General features: G+C 46.9%; 2 long non-coding RNA genes and 1 pseudogene across 2 annotated transcripts; 2 read left to right on the top strand and 1 right to left on the bottom strand.

Annotated features, from left to right (window-relative positions):
• Nucleotides 1-3023: 3023 nt before the first annotated feature.
• Nucleotides 3024-8351, bottom strand: LINC01120 (long intergenic non-protein coding RNA 1120). The gene is made up of 3 exons (NR_036499.1): nt 8001-8351; nt 3720-6039; nt 3024-3407 (listed from the first exon to the last, which is right to left on the bottom strand). It is a non-coding gene; the product is annotated as a long intergenic non-protein coding RNA 1120 (long non-coding RNA).
• MED15P3 (mediator complex subunit 15 pseudogene 3) lies at nt 15710-16035 on the top strand (annotated as a pseudogene).
• LOC112268425 (uncharacterized) lies at nt 17027-23330 on the top strand. The gene is made up of 4 exons (XR_002959421.1): nt 17027-18951; nt 20800-20853; nt 20975-21018; nt 23278-23330. It is a non-coding gene; the product is annotated as an uncharacterized LOC112268425 (long non-coding RNA).
• Nucleotides 23331-24546: the final 1216 nt, after the last annotated feature.

Below are 24546 nucleotides of genomic sequence, written 5' to 3'. Positions count from 1 at the left end.
ACCTGCTTCGGGCTCCCAAAGTGCTGGGATTACAGGCGTGAGCCACCGCGCCCGGCCTGTTTTCTTCAACTTTTAAGTTTAGGGGTACAAATGTGCAGGATGTGCAGGGTACACAGGTCAATGTGTGTCGGGTTGGTTTGCTGCACAGATCATCCCATCACCTAGGTATTGAGCCCAGCATCCATTAGCTATTCTTCCTGATGCTCTCCTTTGCCCAATCTCCTGACAGGCCCCAGTGTGTGTTGTTCCCCTCGCATATGTCCATGTGTTCTCATCGTTCAGTTCCCACTTATAAGTGAGAACATGCGGTGTTTGGTTTTCTGTTACTGCATTAGTTGCTAAGGGTAACGGCTTCCAATGCCATCCATGTCCCTGCAAATGGCTGCATAGTAGTCCATGGTGTATAGGTACCACATTTTCTTTATCTCATCTGTCACTGATGGGCATTTGGGTTGATTCCACGTCTTGCTATTGTGAATAGTTCTGCCATGAACATACACCTGCATGTATCTTTATAATAGAAGGATTTATATTCCTTTGGGTATCTACCCAGTAATGGGATTGCTGGGTCAAATGATATTTCTGGTTCTAGGTCTCTGAGGAATTGCCACACTGTCTTCCACAATGGTTGAACTAATTTACACTCCGATCAGAAATGCTTACTTTAGTTAAGGGTTTTGATGTTAAGATTACATGCATTTTCTTTTAAAAATGTAAAAGTAGCTTAATTTTGCATCATTTTGGAGAGGGCTTTGTAGACTTAGCTTACAAGGGATTTTCGTGCTTGTCTAGGAAATCATTCTTCCTTATTTCACTATTTTTGTTACTATTTTTTTAATCCTGGCAATATGTCAGGGTTGTGTGTATAAAATTTGCAATTTCAGCAATTTAAGTGTACAAATCAATGGTATTAATGACATTTACGTGGTTTGCAACCATCACCACAAACTATCTCCAAAATATTTCATCAACTTAAAACTCTATACTCATTAAGCAATAACTTATAATTTCACCCTTCCTTCAGCCCCAAGCTGTTTATTTACTTTTTATCTCTATAATTGCCTGTTCTATGTACCTAATATAAGTGAAAGCATCAATATGTGTTCTGTGTCTGACGTTTCATTTAGCAAAATGTTTTCAAGACTCATCCATGTTGCAGTATGTATCAATACTTAATTCCTTTTCATGGCTAGATATTCCATTTATGTTTATATCACACTGTTTATTCATTCTTCTGTTATTGGACACTTGGGTTGTTTCTGCCTTTTGATTATTGTGAATATTTTTTCTATAAACATTAGTGTACACGCATATGTTTGCATCCTTGTTTTCAATTCTTTTGGGGATATACCTAGGAGTAGAATTGTTGGATCAAATAGTGATTCTACGTTTGACCTTTTGAGAAACTGCCAAACGATGATCCAGAAGAGGCGCCATTTTACATTCCCACCAGCCCAAGGTGACTGTGGGTTTTTCAACCACAGAACACTGTTTTCAAGCAATGCCCACTGTTTTTCCTAGCAGAATGGTTTCTGGGTCAGGTAAAACAGAGATGATGAATACCTTCTTCAGACAGCCTCTGGAAAGATTAAAACAGACAAGCATAATCATTTGTGAATCAGATCTGCTCTCCTCTCTGGAACCAGGGATAAGGGTCCCAGCCTGGGGAATCCAGCCTGCCGTCTTCAAGACTATCACCAAGCTGGACTTGTGGGACAAGCAAAAATGCCACACAGCTTTCATATCATTTTTAAGTTTCCTTTGTGTTGATCCAGCATTCTTTTAGTTGCCGTACACCTTTGATTATTTTCCCGGTTCTCACAAAGTTGGTTCTGACAGTGTCTGGTTGTTTATTCAACATTCCTATGGAAGGATGGGAGCTTAGAGCTGCCTTCCCTGCCATTTTGCTGACACCACTGCAATGGAGCATTCTTGACTCCCCTGCCCTAAGAGTTTGACTTACTCTGCATTCAAATGTCCTCTACCTAACATGACCAAAACACAACTCGTGGTATTTCCTTCTAACCTGCTTCTCTCTTGTGGGCCGCCTGTCTGGGAATGGTTAGATCCTTTACTCAGGTACTCAAGCCAAGAAGAGTTCTCATTTCCCTCTTCTTCTGATTGGTAGCCAGTCAGAACTGTGGCTGCAATACAGCCTTCTAAGACTTGTCTGATCATTCCACTTATGACAAAGTTTCTTTCTTTTTACAACACCCCAGGCTTCTCTCATAGTTCACTTTGATTACTGCAATGCCTCCTGCCTGGATAGTTTGTATCTCATTCTCCCTCTCCCCACTTCCTGTATGCATCTGCCCACAGAACTCATTCTTACCCCTAGAAGTAACCCAAAGACACATGTTCATATTCTATCCCTTGCTCTTGGAGTCATAAGCTGCTTTGGGACAAGGACTGCATATATCCATCCCTGCAACAGTTTCCAGCATATAGAACAAGCTGAACAAATGATTCCTGAGTGTCTGGAACAGACCCGAAATACCAGCCCTCAGAGTGATTAGACACAGTGTAGTATACATTAGTAAGACAGAAACCAGCAAAATGTCTATGCATGTAAATATGATTGCTTAGAAACTTGAAAAACTGAATTCTCTTTCTTGCGTCTTTATCTCTGATTTTGAAAATCCTACCCATTCTTCAAGGTCTATTTTTATTTCTTACTTTCTCCAGCTCCTAACCATGGAATATATTCCTGCCAATTCTGCACTGAATTATACACTCACTGGAAATCCCCTATATCAGCCCTAATGCTTCCTCCACCACAAAGTGGAGGAATATGCAGATGTTAGGAGAGAGACAGCAGAAGCAACAGAAGCTAGAAACAGAGTGTAGCTTCAATGACAGACCAGCCTGCCAGTAATTCATCACTGACATGCTTCATAATGTACTGCCTCATGGTGGCTATGATGAAATACTGTTACTGTGAGTTTTGTCCCTCCACTAGATTTGCATTTTCCTGAAGGTAACAACCTTCATCAACCAGTTTTGTATTAATCAAGAACCCACAGTTCAAGCAGACATACAATATATATTTTCCCAACATAAATTTTCATGTGTTGTTCATGCCTTGGTCTGCTATTGAGCTGGACTTCTGAAATAAACTGTGTTATGCTAGAAATAACTCATAACCAAAGTGTCTCTCCAGCAAAAGCAGGGAGGAAAGTGTCACCTTTCTCAGTACTAAGATTTTTCCTTAGCAAACGGGTGATCTCAGAGTAAGTACCGCTTGCCAGAATCGCTGAGTCCGTTTTCAGAGAGGAAGGAAAACGCTGTGAGCATCAGATCATGCTGTGTCCTGTGTGCATGGGTCTTTTCTTCAGTTGGTGACATTAGAAAACCATCTGGGAAATAACGCTCAAGGCAATGGCTCCCAAATAAAGCATAGAAGACACCTGTGGAAAGGCCCAAGAGTTTGTGTAAGATTTTCAAAATGATTTTGGTTGCACAGTCAACACTATTTTCAAGAACACATTTCTCCTGAGGAAAATGCTCTCTGCCATGCAGTTTGTCACTGAAGCTGTCATCTATGAGTGCCATCTGGACCAAGTTCCAGTTTGGTAATGGGCTCTCACATACATTTGCCCACCAAGAAATTCTGTAACTCATCTACAATGTCCATGGTAAGATTTGCATATCTTAGTTCAAATGAAATAGAAACCTAAAGAAATAAAATTGCCATCTCAGACAAAGAAAGAAGACTTTACCTTGTGAAGAGCCACAGCCTATTCCGAGGAAGTCTCTCTGGTCCGCTCCCCTCCAGGTGGTCCCTGAAATCTAGGAAACGTAGAGTCACTGTCAGCCACGGGAGCTGCTGAAGGACCTCTGGCAGCCTTGGGTGCTGAGGACGAGGACTGGTGTGTGCAGAGGAGGTGGGTGAGAGCACAGGCTGAGCTGCTGCTGGGCCACCCTCCTTGGTGGTGAAGGAAGGTAAAGGAGACCATCAGGAGAGCCCTGGAGGACAGAGCCTCGGGTCTCTGTCTAAGCCACCCTCATCACTGTGAAGTAGGCAGTGTTCACCCAGGCAGCACACAAATGCACGGCATCACTCCAGGACAGGGTCTCCTCACAGAAAGAGGCCTGGTAAATATCCTCTTTTTAAAAAAAGTTACAATGTTTAACGTTCCTGAATCTACATATGCTCCTTCTGCACTTACCATCTATATTACTGGATTTTAAATCATTATTTTGGTGAAAAATACACAATATGTATTATTTTGATTATTAAATGCACACTTCTGTGACATCAGTTCCATTCACAATGCTATCTAGAAAACTAAAAACAATCTTAATTCAGTTTTCTTACCTTCCACCTTGGGAAACTAGAGAAAAAAGTATTGTGTAATGTAAACCCAACATTAACATAGAAAAAAAATATATTCATTATAATAGAAATAATAAAATAAACAGAGAACAAAACAAAACCAAAAGCTGCTTCTTAGAAAAGATAAACAGAATTGATAAACCTCCAGCCAGGCTAACCACAGAGAAAAGATAGAAGACACAATTTATAAATAATGTAAATAAAAAGAGGAATCATTCCTGCTGATCCCATGAATATGAAGAAGATAATAAAGGAATACTTAGAATAAATCTATGCTCACAAATCTGACAGCAAAATTCCTTCAAAGGCAGAAACCATAACTACCCAAAGGAGACTCAGATAATCTGAGTAGGCTTGTATGTATTATAGAAATTAAATCAACAATAACTTTTTAAAAAATGCCCAGTAGATTTTACTGAATTCTACCTAATTCTTACAAAGGAAAACATAGTGTTATTATACAAAAAACTGATTAAAATTCTAAACATTTACCCAGTTAAATTTTAAAATTACACCCATTGCAAAATCTGCACAAGAATGAGGGCAGCTGTATTCGTAATTGCCTGAACTGGAAGCAGCTGAGATGCTCTTCAGGCGGTGAGTGCACCAACCCACACCATTACATGGACCCAATGGAATACGATTCACTGATAAAAATTTGTAAGCCATTAAGCTACAAAAAGATATGAAATCTTGCATGTATGTTGCTAAGCGAAATCAGTTAGTCCTAAGTGGCTGCATACTTTATGATTCCAATTCTATAGAATTTTGGGAAAGAAAATCCATAGAGGCAATAAAATAAATGATCTATAGTAGTCAGGGGTCCTAGGAAAAGAAGAAAGGGATTAATAGGTTCAGCATTGGTCATGTTTTGGGTGTGAAACTCTTCTGTCTGGGTGATGGATGACATTACGAGTTTGTCAAAATCCATAGGCTGAACAACACAGGGTGAGCCTTAGTGCAAACTCTAGACTTTCATTAAGAAGAAGATATCGCTATTGCTTCAACCACTATAACAAATGCACCACATTCATGTAAGATGTGGTCACAAAAAAGATACTGAGGGGGGAGGGTATATGGGAACTTTCTGTACTACTGCAATTTTTAAGTTAATTTACAAGTTTCACATGATGTCCATTTGTTTGAAAATGTGGCAACGCTATCTCAGGAAGAGTTCCATTTTAGCTAATGTCTAACAATCAGCTAGACATTATATCTAAACCTTGCATTAATATCTAAACCTTGCATTGACGTGTTCTTTACTCTTAAAAGTGAACCAAACTTGAAGTGGAAATACATCTTTACTTCTGCATTTGTAGCACTAGTGATTGACTTGTACATTTAAATTGGCACACATGAAATAAAGAAGAATATAGTGTAGCAATTTTAGAGTTATCTGAAGTTTGGGACCCTGAAGAATCTGGAATCCTTATGCTTGCAAGGGTGAGTAACTGAATTTCTACAGTACCTTCAGATGGCTCCCTGCCAGGGTGCACACAGGAATGGTCTGGAATCCTTCTGCTCCCAAGAGTGAGTAACTGAATTTCCATAGTACCTTCAGATGGCTGACTGCCAGGGTGCACCTGAGGATGAGGCCTGCAGCGGAGCACCACGTCTCTGAAACTGAGCTGGCGGACCGTCGATTTGTGACGGACAGTGGATTCTTTGGAGCCCTCAGGATCTTGCATCTTGGAGGCAACACTCTGGGAAATGGATTAAATAAAGACAACTGTTGATATCTTGCTGCAGAAGACCACAGAGAAAGGAGGCACCGTTTATTCACAGTTTAACCCATTTCCTGTGTTCCCCGAGAACACTGTGCTCCCAGCGAGCTGCACTTTTACTTTCTAAATGGGAAACGGGTTAAGTCAGGGGTTCCCAAACCCTGGGCCACCGATGGTGTGTGGCCTGTTAGGAACCAGGCTTGAGCAGCGGCTGGGAGCAAAGCTTCATCTGTATTCACAGCCGCTCTCATCACTCGCATCACCGTCTGAGCTCCACCTCCTGTCAGATTAGCCATGGCATTAGATTCGCATAAAGTGCACGTGGCCTGGATCCCTGGCCTGTGCAGCTCGCAGTAGGGTTTGCCCTCCTAGGAGAGTTGTATAATTATTTCATCATATATTACAATGTAATAATAATAGAAATAAAGTGCACAATAAATGTGCTAGGTTCATCCTGAAAGCATCCTTCCACCCCATCCCGGTCCACTGAAAAATTATCTTCCATGAAAACAGTCCCTAGTGTCAAAAAGGCTGGGGACCACTAAGTTCAGTGTTTGAACCATTGTCCCCTGTTCACCATCTGCAGAAATAAGCCTCCTGAATCTGAGTTGGGCGTTAGGAAGAACTTGCACTGTAGGTTGCACTTAAAACCGTGCAGACCGACTGTGTAGGCAAATCCCTGTACTGAGATGAGACGAGGTAGAAAGGTGGCAGATGGGAGTGACCAAGAGCACGCGGCCTGGTGCACAAAGGTCTGGCTCAAGTCCTTATTGGGAAGCTACATGAACCTGAGAAGTTCTATAGACCCTTCTGTGCCTCAGTTCTCTCTTCCGAGTGTGGAAGTTAACTGAAATGTGGCCATCAAGGCTGGTGCTTAAGTGATTTAGGGAATTAAATCTGTGACCCCCACTGTCTTCTGACTACTGATCTGAGCAGGCTGAACTAAGGCCTGCCTGAGAGTGGGCAGTGTCTAAATGAAGTTTATTGAATAACTTCAAAGTCACACCTGATCAGAAGGGCACTCGAATTTAACAAGACACGGCGTGTGTTCAGTCATGAGTGAATATTCTACTATAGAAGAAATGTAAGCAGAAGAGCTAGTAACTTGAGCAGGGGGGTACCTGGCTCTAACGAACAACATGGGAGGTTTCCTGGTCACCTGAAACAATTAAGACATCAAAAAGCCAAGAGCACAAAATCGTGCTGCCTCTGAGACAAACATTAGTATTTTAGACCTTTAAAAATAAGCATTTTAGTATTACAGCAGCAGAATTAGAACCTGCGGTGGGGGAGGCGGCGGGGTGGAGTTAAAGGGGCTGATGAAAATTTGAAGGAGAGAGTTATCATCCCAGCCTGGAAAAGATGCACCTTTTCCAGGAGAAAAGAAACAAAAGGCAATAATATGGGACCTGTAAATTACGTGTAAAGAGACACAGTAAAAGTCGAACTTCTGAGGTATAAATCTGAGAAGTTTAAAAAATAATAGATTTCAGAATGAAAAATTATTACCTCTTGTAATTTCATTGAGAACAAATTAATATCTTAAGAAAAGCTTATTTTTTAAATCAAAATTTTAGTTTGGTATTAGTGTATTTTTAATATTGTAGCTAATTTTAATAAGACCTTGTAAATAAATCACTTACCCTAGTCAATTTTGACTACAAAGTAAGATTTTCATAAACCTTTTATAACCTCTAATGATTTTTTCTATTTTGTAACTTTTTATATCCACCTGATTGTATTTATCTTTTAAAAATGTCTTTAATTTAAAACAATCCCTCGAAACCTCTTAACTAGGCTATTATGTTTCCCATCAGAAAATCTGTTTATTTTCTTAAAAAACTCTGGATTTAAGATGTTCCGATATCTGATTTAAGATTTTCACATCTCTATTCAGAAGACTTTGGCCTGTAATCCCCCTTTCATGGAATGTCTCTTACCGTATTTGGTATCAAGATCTCCTGATATGATGAAGGCAGTATTGTTGTGTTTCTTCTGGATCTATTCTATGGAAGAGTGTGTACAAAACTGGCCTAGGAAACAGCACATTCTTATAAACAGAGAAAAATATTTAAGGCAAAAAGCTTCATAGGACCGAAAATACAAATTGAGTCATAAAACTATAAAACAAATTTGTAAATCTGTAGACAAATTGGAGCTGGGGAAGTAAAAAGAATAAATTAAGAAGACATTTTAAGTACAAGTGGCCCACGTGAAGAAACTGCAGTGAGAAGATGGAAAGCGGCAAAGGCCACCTCCCATCTTTACCAGCAGTCTCCCAGGTGGCAGTTGAAACCCAGTGGCAGTTGGGATGGAGGGCAGGATATACATCATCACATGACCTCCGTGACAGGTCATCACAGAATATTCAAATGAACACAGGAACACGTGCCACACTCTGGGGTCCAACTGCCGCTCTCTAGACCAGTGCACTTTCACAAGGACAAGGGGCCACTCAGAGTCCACGCTTCATTTCAAAATCTGAATCCCAGACCCACAGTGTTATTCTCTGTGTATGAAACAAATGTTAAGGAAAAAAGACTTGCTTTCAAATATATTTAGTAGTGAAAATTTCAGGGTGAAAACAGTCAAAACTAGTATGTTCAGAATAAAATGAGGTTCCTTCCTTGATTTGAAACATTATCCCCACCCATTTTTACTATTCCTGAGTCATCAGAAATTTCTCTATTCAGAAATTTTAAATTTGTTCCAGATTAAAGTTTAAAATGCCTTACCATAAATTCAAATTTTAAAAGTCAATCTCTAAGAATATCTCACAGTAACTGTATGAAATCTTCTCTTATCAGCTATCTATGTTATCTACTGTTTTTCTCTATGCAACTAAGTTTTCATACTTACTAATTTCTGAATTTCTGAGTTCATTGAGAGATTTCTCTGTCAATGTGTATATGAAAGACTGGCTATTCACTCGGAGATGCTGAAAAAAGCAGCATTACATGTTTACCAATGTGTTGTTTGAAAATATATAAAGAGTGATTTTCTTTTTTTTATTATACTTTAAGTTTTAGGGTAGAAGTTTTAGATACATGTACACAACGTGCAGATTTGTTACCTATGTATACATGTGCCATGTGGGTGTGCTGCACCCATTAACTCGTCATTTAACATTAGGTATATCTCCTAATGCTATCCCTCCCAACTCCCCCCATCCCACAACAGGCCCCGGTGTGTGATGTTCCCCTTCCTGTGTCCAAGTGTTCTCATTGTTCAATTCCCTTGGCAACAAAAGCCAAAATTGACAAATGGGATCTAATTAAACTAAAGAGCTTCTGCACAGCAAAAGAAACTACCATAAGAGTGAACAGGCAGCCTACAGAATGGGAGAACATTTTTGCAATCTACTCATCTGACAAAGGGCTAATATCCAGAATCTACAATGAACTCAAACAAATTTACAAGAAAAAAACAAACAACCCCATCAAAAAGTGGGCAAAGGATATGAACAGACACTTCTCAAAAGAAGACATTTATGCAGCCAAAAGACACATGAAAAAATGCTCATCATCACTGGTCATCAGAGAAATGCAAATCAAAACCACAATGAGATACCATCACACAGCAGTTAGAATGGCGATCATTAAAAAGTCAGGAAACAATAGGTGCTGGAGAGGATGTAAAGAATGATTTTCTAAATGGAGAGTTCTGATAACCTCAAATGGTCCCTTCCTTGGAGGGTTATTTTGAAGAATAAGTAAGGAAGTATACACAGCATATTGCCTGACTGGTATTAAGCATTACATATTCTTTCAAAAAGGGTGGGCAGCTGGAGGGATGAGGCATGGCCCCCTTTTCCCAGGACCTTCTTTGGGCACATGGATGCCTAACCCTAAGCTGCAAAAATATGCAGCCCAACCCCCGAAGGAGAAGAAATGTCTGCTTCCTATTTCTCTTTGTGCGTGTGTTTTGCTTGGCCTTCTCAGGGCCTCTCCAGCACCAGAGCAGCCAAGCTGCTGGCCCACCACGAGCCCAATGTCCTCATGCCTCCCAAGCAGACACCAGAGATTGTCAGGTTCCTCAAGCAGATGGTGGAAGGTTCTCCCTCCTCCTATGGACAGGTGCCTTCCTGTGCTGGATCGCATGTGGGAATCAGCACTCCCAACAGTCCCTGGACAATATAAGGCTCCTGAGTGTCCCCTCCTGGTTTTGCTCAGGCAGTAACAGGGAGAACAGAGGCTGTCACTGCATGGGTGTGGGAAAAACAGTCATTTCCTCCGCTGTAAAACAGAAATGGTACCTGCGTTTCCAATGTCTCACAGGCAGTCTGTGCATGAATTTTACAAAAGAGAGAGACAGACATGAAGCACCTTGCATTTTTAAGAGGAAGAAAATCTGCATCCATGTGTAGTATCTTTGGGCTCTGTTTCCTCCAAGCTAGCCTTTCCCTTTAACATGGAGAGCATGTGTGCCTGATGAGACCTGGGAAATCAAATCACAAAATTGAGTCCGCCACATGACGCTGACAGACAGAAACCAGAGGCAGCAAGGTGTCGCAGGGTTAAATTGATGTGAAATGTGCAGAACAGGCACATCCACAGGGCAGGAAGCAGATCAGTGGTGCCGGGGCTGGGGATGGAGCAGAGGGTACTGCAGAAGGGCAGGGGGCATCTGCTGGCAGCATGGAGATGCTGAGGCTGGAGTGCAGGATGGTGACAACTCTGCAAACTTACAAAAAAGTCAACAAATGGTGCACTTAACATAGGTGAATGCTGTGGCCTGTAAATCACACCAGGACACAGCTGCCAGCATCACATCCTCCTATAGAGAGCTCCAGCCTCCAGCCTTGGGTCCTTGCTGCTGCCTGTTTCTCTGGCTGATGCCCCTGCTCCTCACCCAGGTATACTTGGCTCTGTACTTGTCCTAGTTGTCATTTTGATAGGGATCTTTACCTGTTAGCAAGAGATAAAAAGCACTGACATCGTGTCCATCTTTTCAAGATGATCCTCAGGTGGGTGCCAGCCACCGCTCCTCTGGTCTCTGGTGACTCCCAGGTGAGGAAGCCTCAGGAGAGTAGGAGCTTGGGGCCCCAGGAGCCGAGAGTCCCTGCTCAAGCTCCAGCCTGCCCTTCCCTGTCTGAGAAAGCTTGGGCAAGTTACATCTCTCTGAACCCTGTTCCTCACAGGATTTTGATGATCAAGCATGTTCCCATCCAGGAAAATGTGAATCACTGTCCAACATCTATGCCTGCTCTCAGCATTTGTGGACAGTTATCTGGGGGTTTCTGGGAAGAGCCTATAGAAGGTCAGGGAGTTTCTTAACCAACAGCAGAGGAGACCCACCTGGGATTGTTGATCTGTGACTGTTCTGAGACAGTCTGAGTCCCAAAATGCACTCAGCCAGGGGAACTAGCACTCCCCTCTCCCCAGGAACCCTGACAGGTGTCCGAAGCAGGAAAGCCATGCTGGCCCTGGCTCAGGGAACTGCTGGCTGGAGTGAAGGTTCTAGGTGCAAAGGATGCCTCCTGCCGAGCTCAAAGCAGGAGATCACCTTGTTAGAATTTCCCTGACCCTCACGAGATTATTAACACCTTCAGTGTTCTTCCCAGATGCCCAGCCAGTATAGCTCACCCTTGTTTCCCTTTCTATGAGCCCAGGGCTCTTGCTTTGTTAGATCTGCCTGACAGCAGCCTTTTCTGGTTCCAAGAACATCTCTTTGAGCTTAAGAAAGAATAGTTCTTAGAGTCTTCAGCTCCTAGGTCAAACTATCTTCAGTTGTATTCTTGCCAATGTGACAGCTTCAGGTTCCAAGGCCTCCATGCTGGGGTTTGCTGCAGCACAGATTGGAGAGGAGGGCTGGGGTCCTTCTAGGATATGAGGCACCTGTCACAGCTTTCTTCTGCAGCAAGCTCTTGTCATCTCAGATTCTGAGGAGATCATCGCTGCAGAGCAGCTGGGGTGTGGACATTGTGGAGGCTAAAGAGGAGACCAGATCTCTGCAGATATCAAGGTGCTGCCTTCTACGGGGTGTCGGGCAAGTGGCAGGGGCACCAGCCCTGGGGACTGTGCTTAGAGCAGCTGGTGTTCCACCTTTCCCTACCTCAGTGTAAGAGGCAAGGAACAAGGTGCCTAATTTTGATCTGTTTTCCACATTTCTTCTAGGTGGGTAACTCGCCCGTCATGGGGGAGTCTGAGCCCTAGGCCCGCTCCTCTGAGTTGCACACGAGACCCTCTTGGGAACAAGAACATCTGTTTCTCTTCTCCAACCTGTCTGGGAGGTGAGGCTGCTAGCTCTCGGGCTGCATGCCCACGCACACCCCTTCTCCCTTCTGGGGCCTCATGTCTGTTCTTTGTGACACCTTGTTACAAAGCTTGTCCTAGAGGAAGCATGAAACTGAAGGGCCTAGATGACACATGTTTGGTCTTCGTAACATTACACGCTCATGGATCATGCAAGCGCTGAGGGAAGGCTACAAGCTGGCTGTGTGCCCCTCATAGCTAACATCCCTGGAATAAAATGTCTACTTCCCTGGTAGGCATCGCCACGGCATAGTGATTGGCACGGTGACCGCACACCACTGGTCATATTGCCTCCTTGATCTCAGGAGTTGGAAATGAGAAGATGCCATTGCCGCTGAGAGGGGGCACTGTGTTGGTTTGTGGCGGGAATGGCCATCTCCACCAGCACCTTTTTCTTCATCATGGCAGTGTCCCTGCAGTATCACATCCTGGACTCTGTTATATTCCTCACTGGCATCATTGTGGCCAATGTGCCCAAGGTGTCCTGGCCACTGTTACTGTGAGTCCCTGCTGTTAGGCAGCTGCACTCAGCCCTGTGGACACAGCATTGCTGCTCTCTCCACCAAGTCCAGGGCACCAACCCTCCCTGCCAGGGACAATCACGGCACCTTCTGAATAGACTGTTTCTTAGAGGGACAAAAGGAACTGTCTAACATTAGACAAACTTACTTTAAAACAACAACAAAAATATTAACAGAAATAAGGATATTTTATAACGACAAAGGGTAAATTAATCGGGAAAATGTAAAACTTATTGACATGTATGCACTCAGGGAAAGAGTACAGAAACACAAGAAGCAAAACTTGACAGAAATGAAATAATTCAGCAATGATAGTTGGAGACTTTAATACCCCACTTACACTAATGGGTATAACAACTAGACACAAGATAACAAGGAAATAGAAAATATGAACAACATTAGAAACCAAATACACCTAACAGATACATATGGAACACGCCATTCAACAGCAGAATCTGTATTCTTCCCAAATGCACACAGAACATTTTCTAAGACACTATGCAAAGCCATAAAACAAACATCAATTAAATTGAAGGATTAAAATAATACAAAGAATATTTTCTCATCATAATAAAAGCAAATTAGGGATCAATGAAAAGAAGAAATCTGGGAAACTCCTAAAAATGTGAACATTAGCAAAAATTTTCCAAAATAATAAAAGGCCAAAAAAGAAACCACAAGTAGTATAAGACAGTATTTTAAGATAAATGAAAAAGTAGACAAAACCTAAAAAAACTTACAGGATTAATTGAAAACCATGCTCTGAAGGAAGCTTATAGCAGAATTCCATCAATGAAAAAGCAGAAAAATCTCAAATCAATAATTAAATGCCTGTTAAAAACATTTAAACGGAAATGGCTGACCCCACTCATCTGAGAAAAGGATATCAGTTGGGGCAAAAATAGTCTTGCTGAAAAACCCTAGGAAGGAAGACTTGGAAAGGACACCCTTTGGAATTTAGGGCTGTGACAATAGTTTTGGGAATCTAGAAGGCAATGTGGATGCTCGGGGCCAGGCACGTGATCAGGAATGACCCAGGAAGACCCTAAGCTCTCACCTCTGACCTTCAAGCTCTGCAGAAGAAGAAAGTAAAAAGAAGTTGTCATTAGATTAAAATAACTGGTTATAAGATGTTCTTTACAAGCTTCATGGTAACCAAAAACCAAAATCCTATGATAGGTATGCACAAAATAGAAAGCAAGCAGTTAAAACATACTACCAGAGCAACTCACTTTTTATACAAAGGAACACAGGAAGCACGAAAGAAAGGAAGAGAGGACCAAACAATCAACTAGAAAACAAGTAGCAAAATTGCAATACTATGCCCTTACCTATCAATAATAACACTGAAGGTAAATGGACTAAATGCTCCAATCAAAAAACACAGAGTAGCTCAATCAATTAAAAGACAAGAGCCAACTATCGGCTTCCTACAAGAAATCCACTTCACCTATAAAGACACATATAGATTGAAAATGAAGGGGTTGAAAAAGACGTTCCATGAAGTGAAAACCGAAAAAGAGCAGGAGTAGCTACACTTATATGAGATAAAATAGATTTCAAGACAAAAACTGTAAAAAGAGACAATAAAGTTTATTATATAATCATCAATTCTTCAAGAGAATATAACTATTATAAATATATATGTACCCAGCATTGGAGCACTCAGATATATAAAGCAAATATTATTAGAGTTAGAGAGACAAACACCAATAAAATAATAGCTGGGACTTTAACACCCCACTTTCAGCACTGAACAGATCATCTAAACAGAAAGTTAACAAAGAATCATCAGACAATCTGTACTGTAGACTCAATGGACCTAATACATATTTACAGAATATTTCATCCATCAGCTTCAGAATACACATCCTTCTCCCCAGCACATAAAACAGACCCAAAGATTGACCATATGGTAGACCACCAAACACGTTTCAAAAAAATTTTTTGAAAACATGAAATTACATTAAATATATTTTAATATTTAATAAAACATATTAAATATGTTTTATTTAATGCTTTATTAAATATTAACACATATTTAATAATATGGAATAAAACTAGAAATAAATAACTAAAGAAACTTTGAAAACCATACAAACACATGGAAATTAAACTACATGCTTCTGAATGACCATTGAGTCAATGAAGAAGTTAAGAAGAAAATGTTTAAAAAATTTCTTGAGACAAATGAAAATGGAAACACAATGTAACCAAATCTATGGGATACAACAAAAGCAGTACTAAGTGGGAAGTTTATAGCAATAAACACCTACATAAAAAGTAGAAAAACTTCCAATAAACAACCTAATGTTGCATCTTAAAGAAATAGCAAAGTAAGAGCAAAGCAAACCCAAAATTAGTAGAAGAAAAGAAATAACAAAGATCAGAGCAGAAGCCAGGGTGGTGGCTCACGCCTGTAATCCCAGCACTTTGGGAGGTCAAGAGTTTGAGACCAGCCTAGCCAACATGGCAAAACCGAGTCTCTACTATAAATACAAAAATTAGCCAGGCATGGTGGCTGGTGCCTGTAATCCCAGCTACTTGGGAGGCTGAGGCAGGAGAATCGCTTGAACCGGGGGAGGCAGAGGTTACAGTGGGCTGAGATCGTGCCATTGCACTCCAGTCTGGGTGACAAAGCAAGAATCCGTCTCAAAACAAAACAAAACAAAATCAAAACAGAAATGGAGACTAAAAAAAATACAAAAGACCAATAAAATTTCCAGTTATATTGAATCATCAAAACCAGCAACAGACGCAGCAGCACAGGGCACAGCTGCAGCTACAGGAGCAGCAGCAACAGGCTTTGCAGGCCCAGTGCCAATACAGCAGCCACCAATGCAATGAAACGCGGCTCACTCATGAGCCCAGCGGGCTCCAGCCAGGCCGAGCAGCAGCAGTGCCTGGACAAGCTAAAGCCGCTGCCCAAGTACAGGGAGCCCCTGCGCCGCCTGAGCAACGGGATCCACGGGAACCAAGACATCAAAAGGGCTGCGGTAAGACGAGCCTTCTGGACGCTCTGACAGTCCGCTCTCAGCGGTGTCCCCTGGAGACCCTGTGGAAGCCTGAGATCGCCCTGGAGAAACGCAAGCATGACCTGGAGGTGCCCACGCCCCGAGTGCCCCTGGCGCCGCTGACCACGCAGCAGCACCTGCGCTGGCCGCTCCTGGAAGCCGGCCTGGCCCGCATCTGCTCGGAATCCTGAACCATTCCCTGCACCGCGCCTTGGTGCTGCCCAGCACAAACACCTTTCCAAAGGAGGCAAATCAAATACGCATCTATCTCAGTGAGCAGGGGAGAGACTTTAAATAAAATGGGAGGCAGGGTTGCCCTAAGCAGCTCCCAGCTTAAGTTTAATTTAATGATTTTGGGGGGCCCAAAATATTTTCCTTTCACAGGCGCAATGGGAGCTCAGGGTCTCCTGAGAGTATCTTGTGTGCAGGCTCGAGGCACCTCCACTCGCTTCCACAGGGGAACACGGAGGACACAAGAAACCCTTCACACACACGATTCTCTGATCGCAGCTTTGGGTTCAGGCTCCCTGCTTTCCGCATCTGAACGCCGCAGGCGGAAGTTAGGGTCAGGGTGCAACGCTGCCTCTGGAGGGAGCCCGGGCCTAGAGGCTGTCAGCTACCCGCCCCCAGCTGGAGCTCAGCCCCGCCGAGCTTCGGCTCAGCACTGCGGGCGCCCGCGGAGCAGGGACATCGGAGATCCTGTCCTCCGCACCCCTGCCCCGCTTTCGGGTCAGGGCCGCACCCCTGCTGTGCAGGATGCCCCGCGATGTCTGGGGGCCCTGCGCTCAGAGCACCCCGGGCGCTCTGCGCCACTGCAGAGTGTGCGGCCCTGGCAGGAGAGCCGTGCCTCCCTCTGCTACCCACACTCGGGACCCAGAGCAGCTCTCTGGCCACAGGATCCCCCTTTTTAATGTGCGCTGCCCCATCATCCGTGACTTTTTCTCTTTTTTTTGGACACAGCTTCGCTTTGTTGTCCAGACTGGAGTGCAATGGCGCGATCTTGGCTCACTACAATCCCCGCCTCCTGGGTTCAAGCACTTATCGTGCCTCAGCCTCCTGAGTAGCTGGGATTACAGGCGCCGGCCGCCACGCCCAGCTGATTTTTTGTATTTTAGTAGAGGCGGGGTTTCACCATCTTACACAGGCTGGTTTCCACTACTGAGCTCAGGCAATCTGCCTCTCTGGACCTCCCAAAGCGCTGATTACAGGTGTGAGCCACAATGCCCGGCCTCGTGATTCTTACAATTGTATCACTCCTGTGTTTGTCCGGGGTTTATCACTGCAGCGGCCCCTTCTCCGTCCATCTGGGGCCCGCTGTCCCCTCAGGATGCTGTCAGCCTTGGAGCTGGCAGAGACCAGTCTGGCCCTGGATGCCCAGACCTTACCTCTCCTCTGATGCAGGGTCCTCTTCCTCCACCTGGTTCACCCCCCAGCTTCCTGGCACAGTTCTTGCTCCCTGTAGCAGCAAGAGACTGAGCTTAATGCCAGGAAATCTGGGCTGTGGGACATGAGGTTGGGCTGCCAGTGAGGGTGGCACTGAGCTGACCACCCAGGACAATGGTGGCACCTGGGGCTATGGCGATGGGGGCCACATGGGCTGGGCAAGGCACTCTGGAGATGGCTGCCCAGAAGGATGATGACCTGGTAGGACCAGGCCTAAGCGACCCTGTGTGAGGCAGGAGAAGCCAGCAGCTTGCCCCCAGCAGTGTGCGGTGTTTGTGAGGAAGCTGCCGGCCCAGCAGGGCACCAGGAAAGCCCTCCCGTCTCCAAAGAGGGCCTGCACAGCTTTGCCAATGGTTTTTTTCCAGGGTAGCTGCCAGGTCCTGGAATGAGCAAGACTCAGCTGCCCAGAGGGGTCCCTGCGGACAGCAGGGGCTGGGATGGGACACCTGATAGCCAGTGAGAAATGCAAGCACAACTTGGGAGAAACACAAGTCTTATTTTCAGTCTTACAGATAAGGCGATCCTCATTTTGTCATGTGCATTTGTGTACCCACTGAATAGCAAAATAACAGCAAGAAAAGATGACAATTTATATTTTCATAGACCCAGAAAAAGTAACAGGCAACCCTGTGTTTCAAATTTTCGATTAGTTGATTTTACAGTGCAAACATGGAAGAATCTGCAGCATGGTAGGAGAAAATAATTTTATTAATTTTATAATTTTACTGAGATTGCTATTTAAAATAATTAGATGTGGGGATACTACAGGAAAATAGGAAAACGTTCATGCTGCAGATGAGTTTTTCAGATGAGTTTTAACAAATATTTTTGAATCTTGAATCTTTGAATAAGATGAAATTATTCTGAATATGTGTGTTTGGGTGATAACAGTTGCCAACAAAAATATGGCTCATAACACCAGTTTCATTTGATTGCCTTTGGTACATTTTTTAAAATGCTACACTACTTTATTCCACATTAGGTGAAATTTATTTTTTCTTAAAGTCAGATTTTATCATGTAAAAAAACATTCTGGATATGTAGGTAAATTTGATTTATTATCTGATTATAGGAGTTTCTGACTGTAACTGGCATTGTTTGGATACAGGAGAGTTAATTAATCATCATTAATGAATCACAGTTAATATGTCCATTACAGTTGAGTGCTACATCTTTACACTGGAAGAAGCAGTGGATGTGTAGCAGAAACTTTCGAGTAAAATAGTTCTGGGTTCTTAATCCCTTCTCTGATATCTACCAACTCTGTGTCCTTAGGCAAGTTAATTACCATCACTTTCCTGATCCATAAAGGGAATAATACCAATGTCTACAAAATACAGTCAGAGTGAAGTTTCATGAAGTGATGAATGTAAATAACCTGGCAGAGTGCCTGGGGATACAGCATGATTCATCACGATACCTACTAATATTAATACTGTCCAGTTAGAAAATTATTTAGATAAAATCATCTGGGTAATCATCACGGTGTATTAGCAACACAAAATCAATTTATAACCTCTTTTTACTCCTGCTGGAGAAGCTGTAAAGCCTAAAGATTTGCCTTCTCAGTTTCCTTCTGGCTAGAGCTAGTCATGAGACCTTGTGGCCAATGGAATGATACCAACATACAAGACTTCTGGAAAAACCGGACAGACTCAGGTGACCTAGATTTTAGCTGTTTGCCCCTTCTCTTTTCCCTTGTCTTTCTAATATCTGGGATGTGGGTGTGATGTTTGAAACTGTTCCAGCCCTGGACTCGGGCGTTCAGAGTCAGAGGAACGTGTGTGGGCTGAAGGTGGCAGCGCTGGGGTGGCAGAATGGGTGGCGATGGGTCCAGCAGGGAGCATAGGGTCGGGGGACGTGGGTGCCAAGGCCCAGAAGCCAGGAGGAGGCAGGAGGGACAGCATTGTGCCTAGAACCTGGGAAGAGACAGAGGGGATCCCCAAGGTGAGTCCCCAGTTTAAAGTCTCAGGTGCCCTCTGCTGTGGCCACAGACGGCCAGGGAATTGGAAAACCCCACTGCATGGAGTTGGCCCAGGCAGGGCTGGACACCCATCGGGAGCACCCCAAGTGCAGCGTGGGCGACTGGGAGCTGGCCTGGGGGTACAGCTGCTGCCCGGCTGACAAAAATTCACCAATGGTTGCCGTGGTTCAGATGTCCCTCTCATGGCCATGACTGGGGGACACAGTGGAGAATGGGCACAGGCTCACAGGTCAGTGAGGACAGTGCAGGTGTCGGGGACTTGAGGGAGGGGAGTAGCACTGGGCAGGCCCCTGGCCAAGCCTGGATGACGGGGCAGGTGGAAGGGCAGGGAGTACCATGTGCCCGGCCGTGCACTGTGGACACGGGGGCTTCCCTGCTCCCGTCCTGGTGGCCAGAGTGAGGATGTTCTATGCTCCTTCAAGGACATCAACCGCCTCCCCTTCCTGGGACCTTGGACAAGGCGCACTGTCCAGGTTCCCCCCACCGGCCTCACAGGGTCTGGTGAGTATGGCAGTGGGACAGGGCCACTCTTGGCCCAGGCTGCAGTGAGCACTCAGCCAACCTGGCCACAGTCTGGTCACTGGGGACCTGGTGTCTGCTGCCCACAGGCCTAAGGACCCCAACACCCATCCCAGCCCAGGCTCCCCAAGGCTGGGCAGATGAGGGTGAGAGGCCCCTGTTCGCTGGGACCCATTCTTGACAGGCTGGGCTGGGCTGTGCAGGGGCACACCCGCTCTGGGGGGATGTGGGGTGGGGACACTTCTGGGCCTGGTTCTGTTGGCCCCAAGGACAGACATGGCATCCCTGGCAACAGCTACACCAGAGGCTCAGGAGCCAGGAGACAGAGCCTAGGCCAGCCGGGCCCCTACTGGGGATGAGTTACAGGGGCTGCAGATGCAGAGGGACTCTCTGGGGGGGTCAGCACCAGGGGACAGACAGAGGCTGCAGTCCCCCCGCCCCAGGCTGGGACAGAGGATGAACCAGCCCCCACCCTTCCCCACCCAGCATTCCCCAGGGGCTGCTGTCACCCTGCACACAAGAAGCTGTCCCAGGCTGTCACCATCTGACACTGCCCAGGCTCTCCCCTCAGAATCCCTGATTAGCAACTATGGCCACCCTAGTCCCTCCCACTAACCTTGGGCAGAGCACAGGGACCCTGATCTCATCTGCACTGCTGCCACCTCCACCCCCAGTATGGTGCATAACTGGGCTGGGAGGGGGATCCCAGGACGGTGCACGCTTGGGGAGCCCCAGCACCCAGGCAGTGGGAGGCCAGGGAGGAGCCATCCCTGCTGGGCACAGCACGGTCACTGCAGACCATGGGTCAGCCTCAGCGCTGAGGACCCACCAGCACACAGGAGGCGCTCAGTAAATGCTGGAGGAGTAAGTGACGGTCCACGTGGTGTGAAACTCCTGTGCCCTGGAGCCCTACCCAGACTCTAGCACTGTGATGTTTATTTCTCCCACCCCAAGCCCCCCTCAGTGACACCCTGGGACCCTTAACAAATGCCTTTTTCTTCCAGGGTCCATTTGGACCTCAGGGCCCTCTAGGATACCCAGGACCTCCAGGTGTCAAGGTAACTGACCTCCAGGCTGGGGATAAAGGACTGTGTTGAAGGGAGCGAGATGGGGTCTCAGGGGCTCGCTCCTTCCAACCCACCTCCATCCCCTGGCCACTCTGTCATCCTCTAATTTCAGGGTGCAGATGGAAATCGGGGTCTGAAGGGCCATAAGATGAAAAGGTGAGCAGAATTTCCCAGCACCTCACTCCTGCCATCGCCGCTCCTCAGCCTGCCCCTGGCTGCCCTCCAGCTCCTGATCCCACCCTTCCACCCATGTTCTCAGAATCCTCCATTAGAGCCCCCGGCCCTCTGTCATCTGTGGGGTCATCTCACCTCCACCTTTCTCAGGGGATGGCTTTCTGAGGTTCAAAGGTGACATAGATGTGAAAGGTGTCAGGCTGAGTAAAGACCCCACACTGGCCCCAACTCCATGTCCTAATGATTCTCCACTCTGGAGTCCCCAAGCACCGGTTCATTCCCCGGAGGTCCCGGGCTCCTCAATTCCAGTGCTGTGCATCCTTGGGGGCCTGGTCCCTGCAGGACGGCAAACCCACGATCTGCATCGCGCTGGCCCTGGATCACCACACTCTCTATACCCCACAGGCTCCCTCTCCTGCAACAGCTCCTGGGATCCGCCAGCCCCACTCGGCCTCACTGGTGCCCCTTTCCCCTCTGGGCCCAGACCTCATCCCCAGGCCTCCAAACTCACCTCTCCCACTCTCTCACTCACGGTGAGGCTGGAGCCCTGGTTCCAGAGGAGAGGATGGTCCCAAGGAGCAAAAGGAACACAATGCACTGACTAGAGATCCTGGGCTTCCCAGGGCTCGCAGGCAAGATGACGACAGGAAGAGAGGTCTGTGCCTGGACCCTCTAGGGATGTGGGCACTAGGTCAGGGCGGGCATGGGGGGTGCCCGCAGCTAACATCAGCCAGTTAATTGAAGATGGCCATGCATTAATTATGCTCCTCTCTCTATAAACGGCACCTTCTGGCTGCTGATGGGTTGAGGAGCCTATAGGAAAAGTCAAGGAAAAGCCGCTGTTGTGAAGAGTTGATTGGAGATGAGGCACAGAGTGGCTGCAGGTCCCAGGCAAAGTGAACATGCCCAGACTCAGAGCAGTGGCAGCTTCGAAAAGGGAGTGTCCAACAGCAGTGAGACCTGTGGTCTCCAGGGCTGACTCCCCCCAGCCCTCGCCATGTGCAGGCACTGTGCTAAGGTGTCCTCTCCATCCTGTGAGGTGGGCGTGGATGGTCCTGTTTTGCAGATGAGACTCTCCAGAGGCACAGAAAGGCTTGGTCATCACATGGGCAGTGATGCACAGGCCAGGGGCTGAGTCAGGGCAGTCTGGCTGCAGAATTGCTGCTCTCAACCCTTGCTCCACCGCATCCCGGGCAGGAGGAGCCCTGGAGCATCAGGAGGAAGGGGACAGGTTGGGGAGTTGGGGTGTTGTGCCACGTGGGCAAAGGGCAGGGGTCCTGCAGGGTGACTGGTCTTGGTGGATGGAGCAGGAGTGGGTGCTGGGACAGATGGTACTGAGGTCGGCAGGTGGGCTGCAGCTGGATCACAGTGACCCTGAGGACTTGACAGGGCTGCAGGCACAGGAAAGCAGGATCCCAGCACTAGAGTTGGGGAAAATTCGCCCTCTGGAAGGAGAGACTGCAAAAGGCAGCCATGGGGCAGGAGAGAAGGGGCTAGGAGCTGGGGTGTGTGGGTGCACTGGGGGATGGGGCATGGCCCTCACATGTGAGGGTCGGGGTCTCCAGAAAGTAGCACCTGGGCCTCCTCTCACTCCTAATTGCTCCCTGTCCCTCCACAGGGCAAGCTGGGTGTTCCTGGTCTGCCTGGCTACCCCGGATGCCAGGAACTCAGGGTGACACCGGGTGTGTGCCCCTCCTCCTTTTCACTTCCCTGACTTCGATTCCAGGGAGCACAGACTAGCAGAGCAGTGGGGGGCCCTCAAGAGTGTTTAGCGGCCCCCAGTCTACAGATAACAGAGAGGCCGAGAGCAGCAGGGGTTTGTCCCAGGCCACCTCATTTGTGGCAGGATCCAGGTCTCCACGCTGCTGCCTGCATGGCCTCTGCTGGCCCCCTCTGCCCCTTCCCGAGCCTGACCTCTCATAACTTCTCAATTTCCCCGCTTCTCCTTCCTCACCAGGGACTCCTGGGATTTCCTGGCTTTCCTGGAGTCAGTGGGGAGAACGGAGCCTGAGGAAGCTGGGGGCAGGGAGAAGGTGTGGAGGGAAAGGCTGGAGGGGTGTGGGGGGGGCTCTGTGGGGAGGCACGCCCCGGGGGATGTCCACTCCATTCCCACCAGGGCCTGTCAAGGAAGTCAGGGCCTCGAGGAGAATGGGGCCTCATGGCAAGTGCAAGGGAGAGAAACAGGGGGCTCAAGGTCCAAATGGGTTTGGGTTTTTCTGACAACAACGCTCCCCTCTCTAGGGTCCACAGGGTCAGCCGGGTCCTCGAGGTGCCACTGGGAACTCTGGAGCTAAGGTCAGTGGTCTCTGCAGGGCTCCCCCTGACCCCTGCCCACTGAGCCCCAGCTCTCCCTCAACCACCTGACCTTGGGGACAACTGAGGAGCAGCTCCTCCCACTCTGTTTCCCCCATAGGGAACATCGGGGGCGAAGGCCTCCATGGGCCCCCCAGAGACAGGGTGTGTGTGGCATGAGTGTCCTCTCTCTCCATGCTCCCAGGGAGCCTGGGTGAGCCAGCTCCTTCCTCACCCCAGTGAGGACCCCAGCCCCTGCCCCCATTCTCCTGACTCAGCCCACCTCTGTCCCTAGGGTCTTCCTGATTAATGTGTCTGGTCCTCTGCCTCCCTTTCCCCAGGCCATAAACTCTAGTCTTGTCTCAGGGGCCAAAAGAAGCCCCTTTCCCCAGGAGGGCTTCACTGTCTCCCTGTAGTGACCTTGGAGCACTTATCCTGGCCTCTGCCCCAGAAATGGGCCCACCTCCCTAAGCAATGACGCCTATTTCTGCTCCTCCTTCAGGGCCCACAAAGCGCCCCAGGAGGCATTGGGAACCTGAGTCCCCCTGGAGAGATGGTCACTGGGAAGGGGGTGAATGGACAAGTATTTCAACTGAGGGATGAAAGTTGGTTTTCTGCCAATTTTGACTGGGGAGACATAAAAGAATGAGATGTGGGGAACACCAGGATTTTTTGAGGGGGCAAATAGGTTTTTGACCTCAATCTCTTTGCAGGGGGAGCCAGGACATTCAGGATCTCCAAGGATCCAGGGTGAGCCAGGTGTCAAGGAGACTGGCAGCTCCAGGGCCCTACTTTCCAACCCCTTTCACCCCCCTCACTGCACCCCACTTTTCCTGTGACCTCTTTGAGCTGGAGCTCCTCTGTGGCCAGGAGTATCTGCTCTGGACCATACTCTCAATAAGCCCTTCCTCTCTTACCTCCAAGGGAAAGAGACCAGGGTCTCCCCTTATAGGCTGGACTTTCTGTGTCTGTCACATTGTCCCTGAGGGCAGTAGGGTGTGGCTGAAGGTGTCTTGGAAGCAGAGGCTGCATCCCTGATCTTCAAGAACCCCCAGACCATCTGTGCCCTTCACTTGTTCTGCAGCACCCATGTGGGGAGCGTGGGGAGAATACAGTAGATTTGGGGCAGCTGGGAGAGGCAGGACCACCAGGGCCTAAAGGACACTGGGGTCAGGTGACAGCCCCAAAGGGAACACTGCGATTTTGGGGGCATGGAGG

The sequence above is a fragment of the Homo sapiens genome, chromosome 2 (genome assembly GCF_000001405.40).
Source record: "Homo sapiens chromosome 2, GRCh38.p14 Primary Assembly".
Lineage (NCBI taxonomy): Eukaryota > Metazoa > Chordata > Mammalia > Primates > Hominidae > Homo > Homo sapiens.
This window is presented reverse-complemented; position numbering and strand designations above follow the sequence as displayed.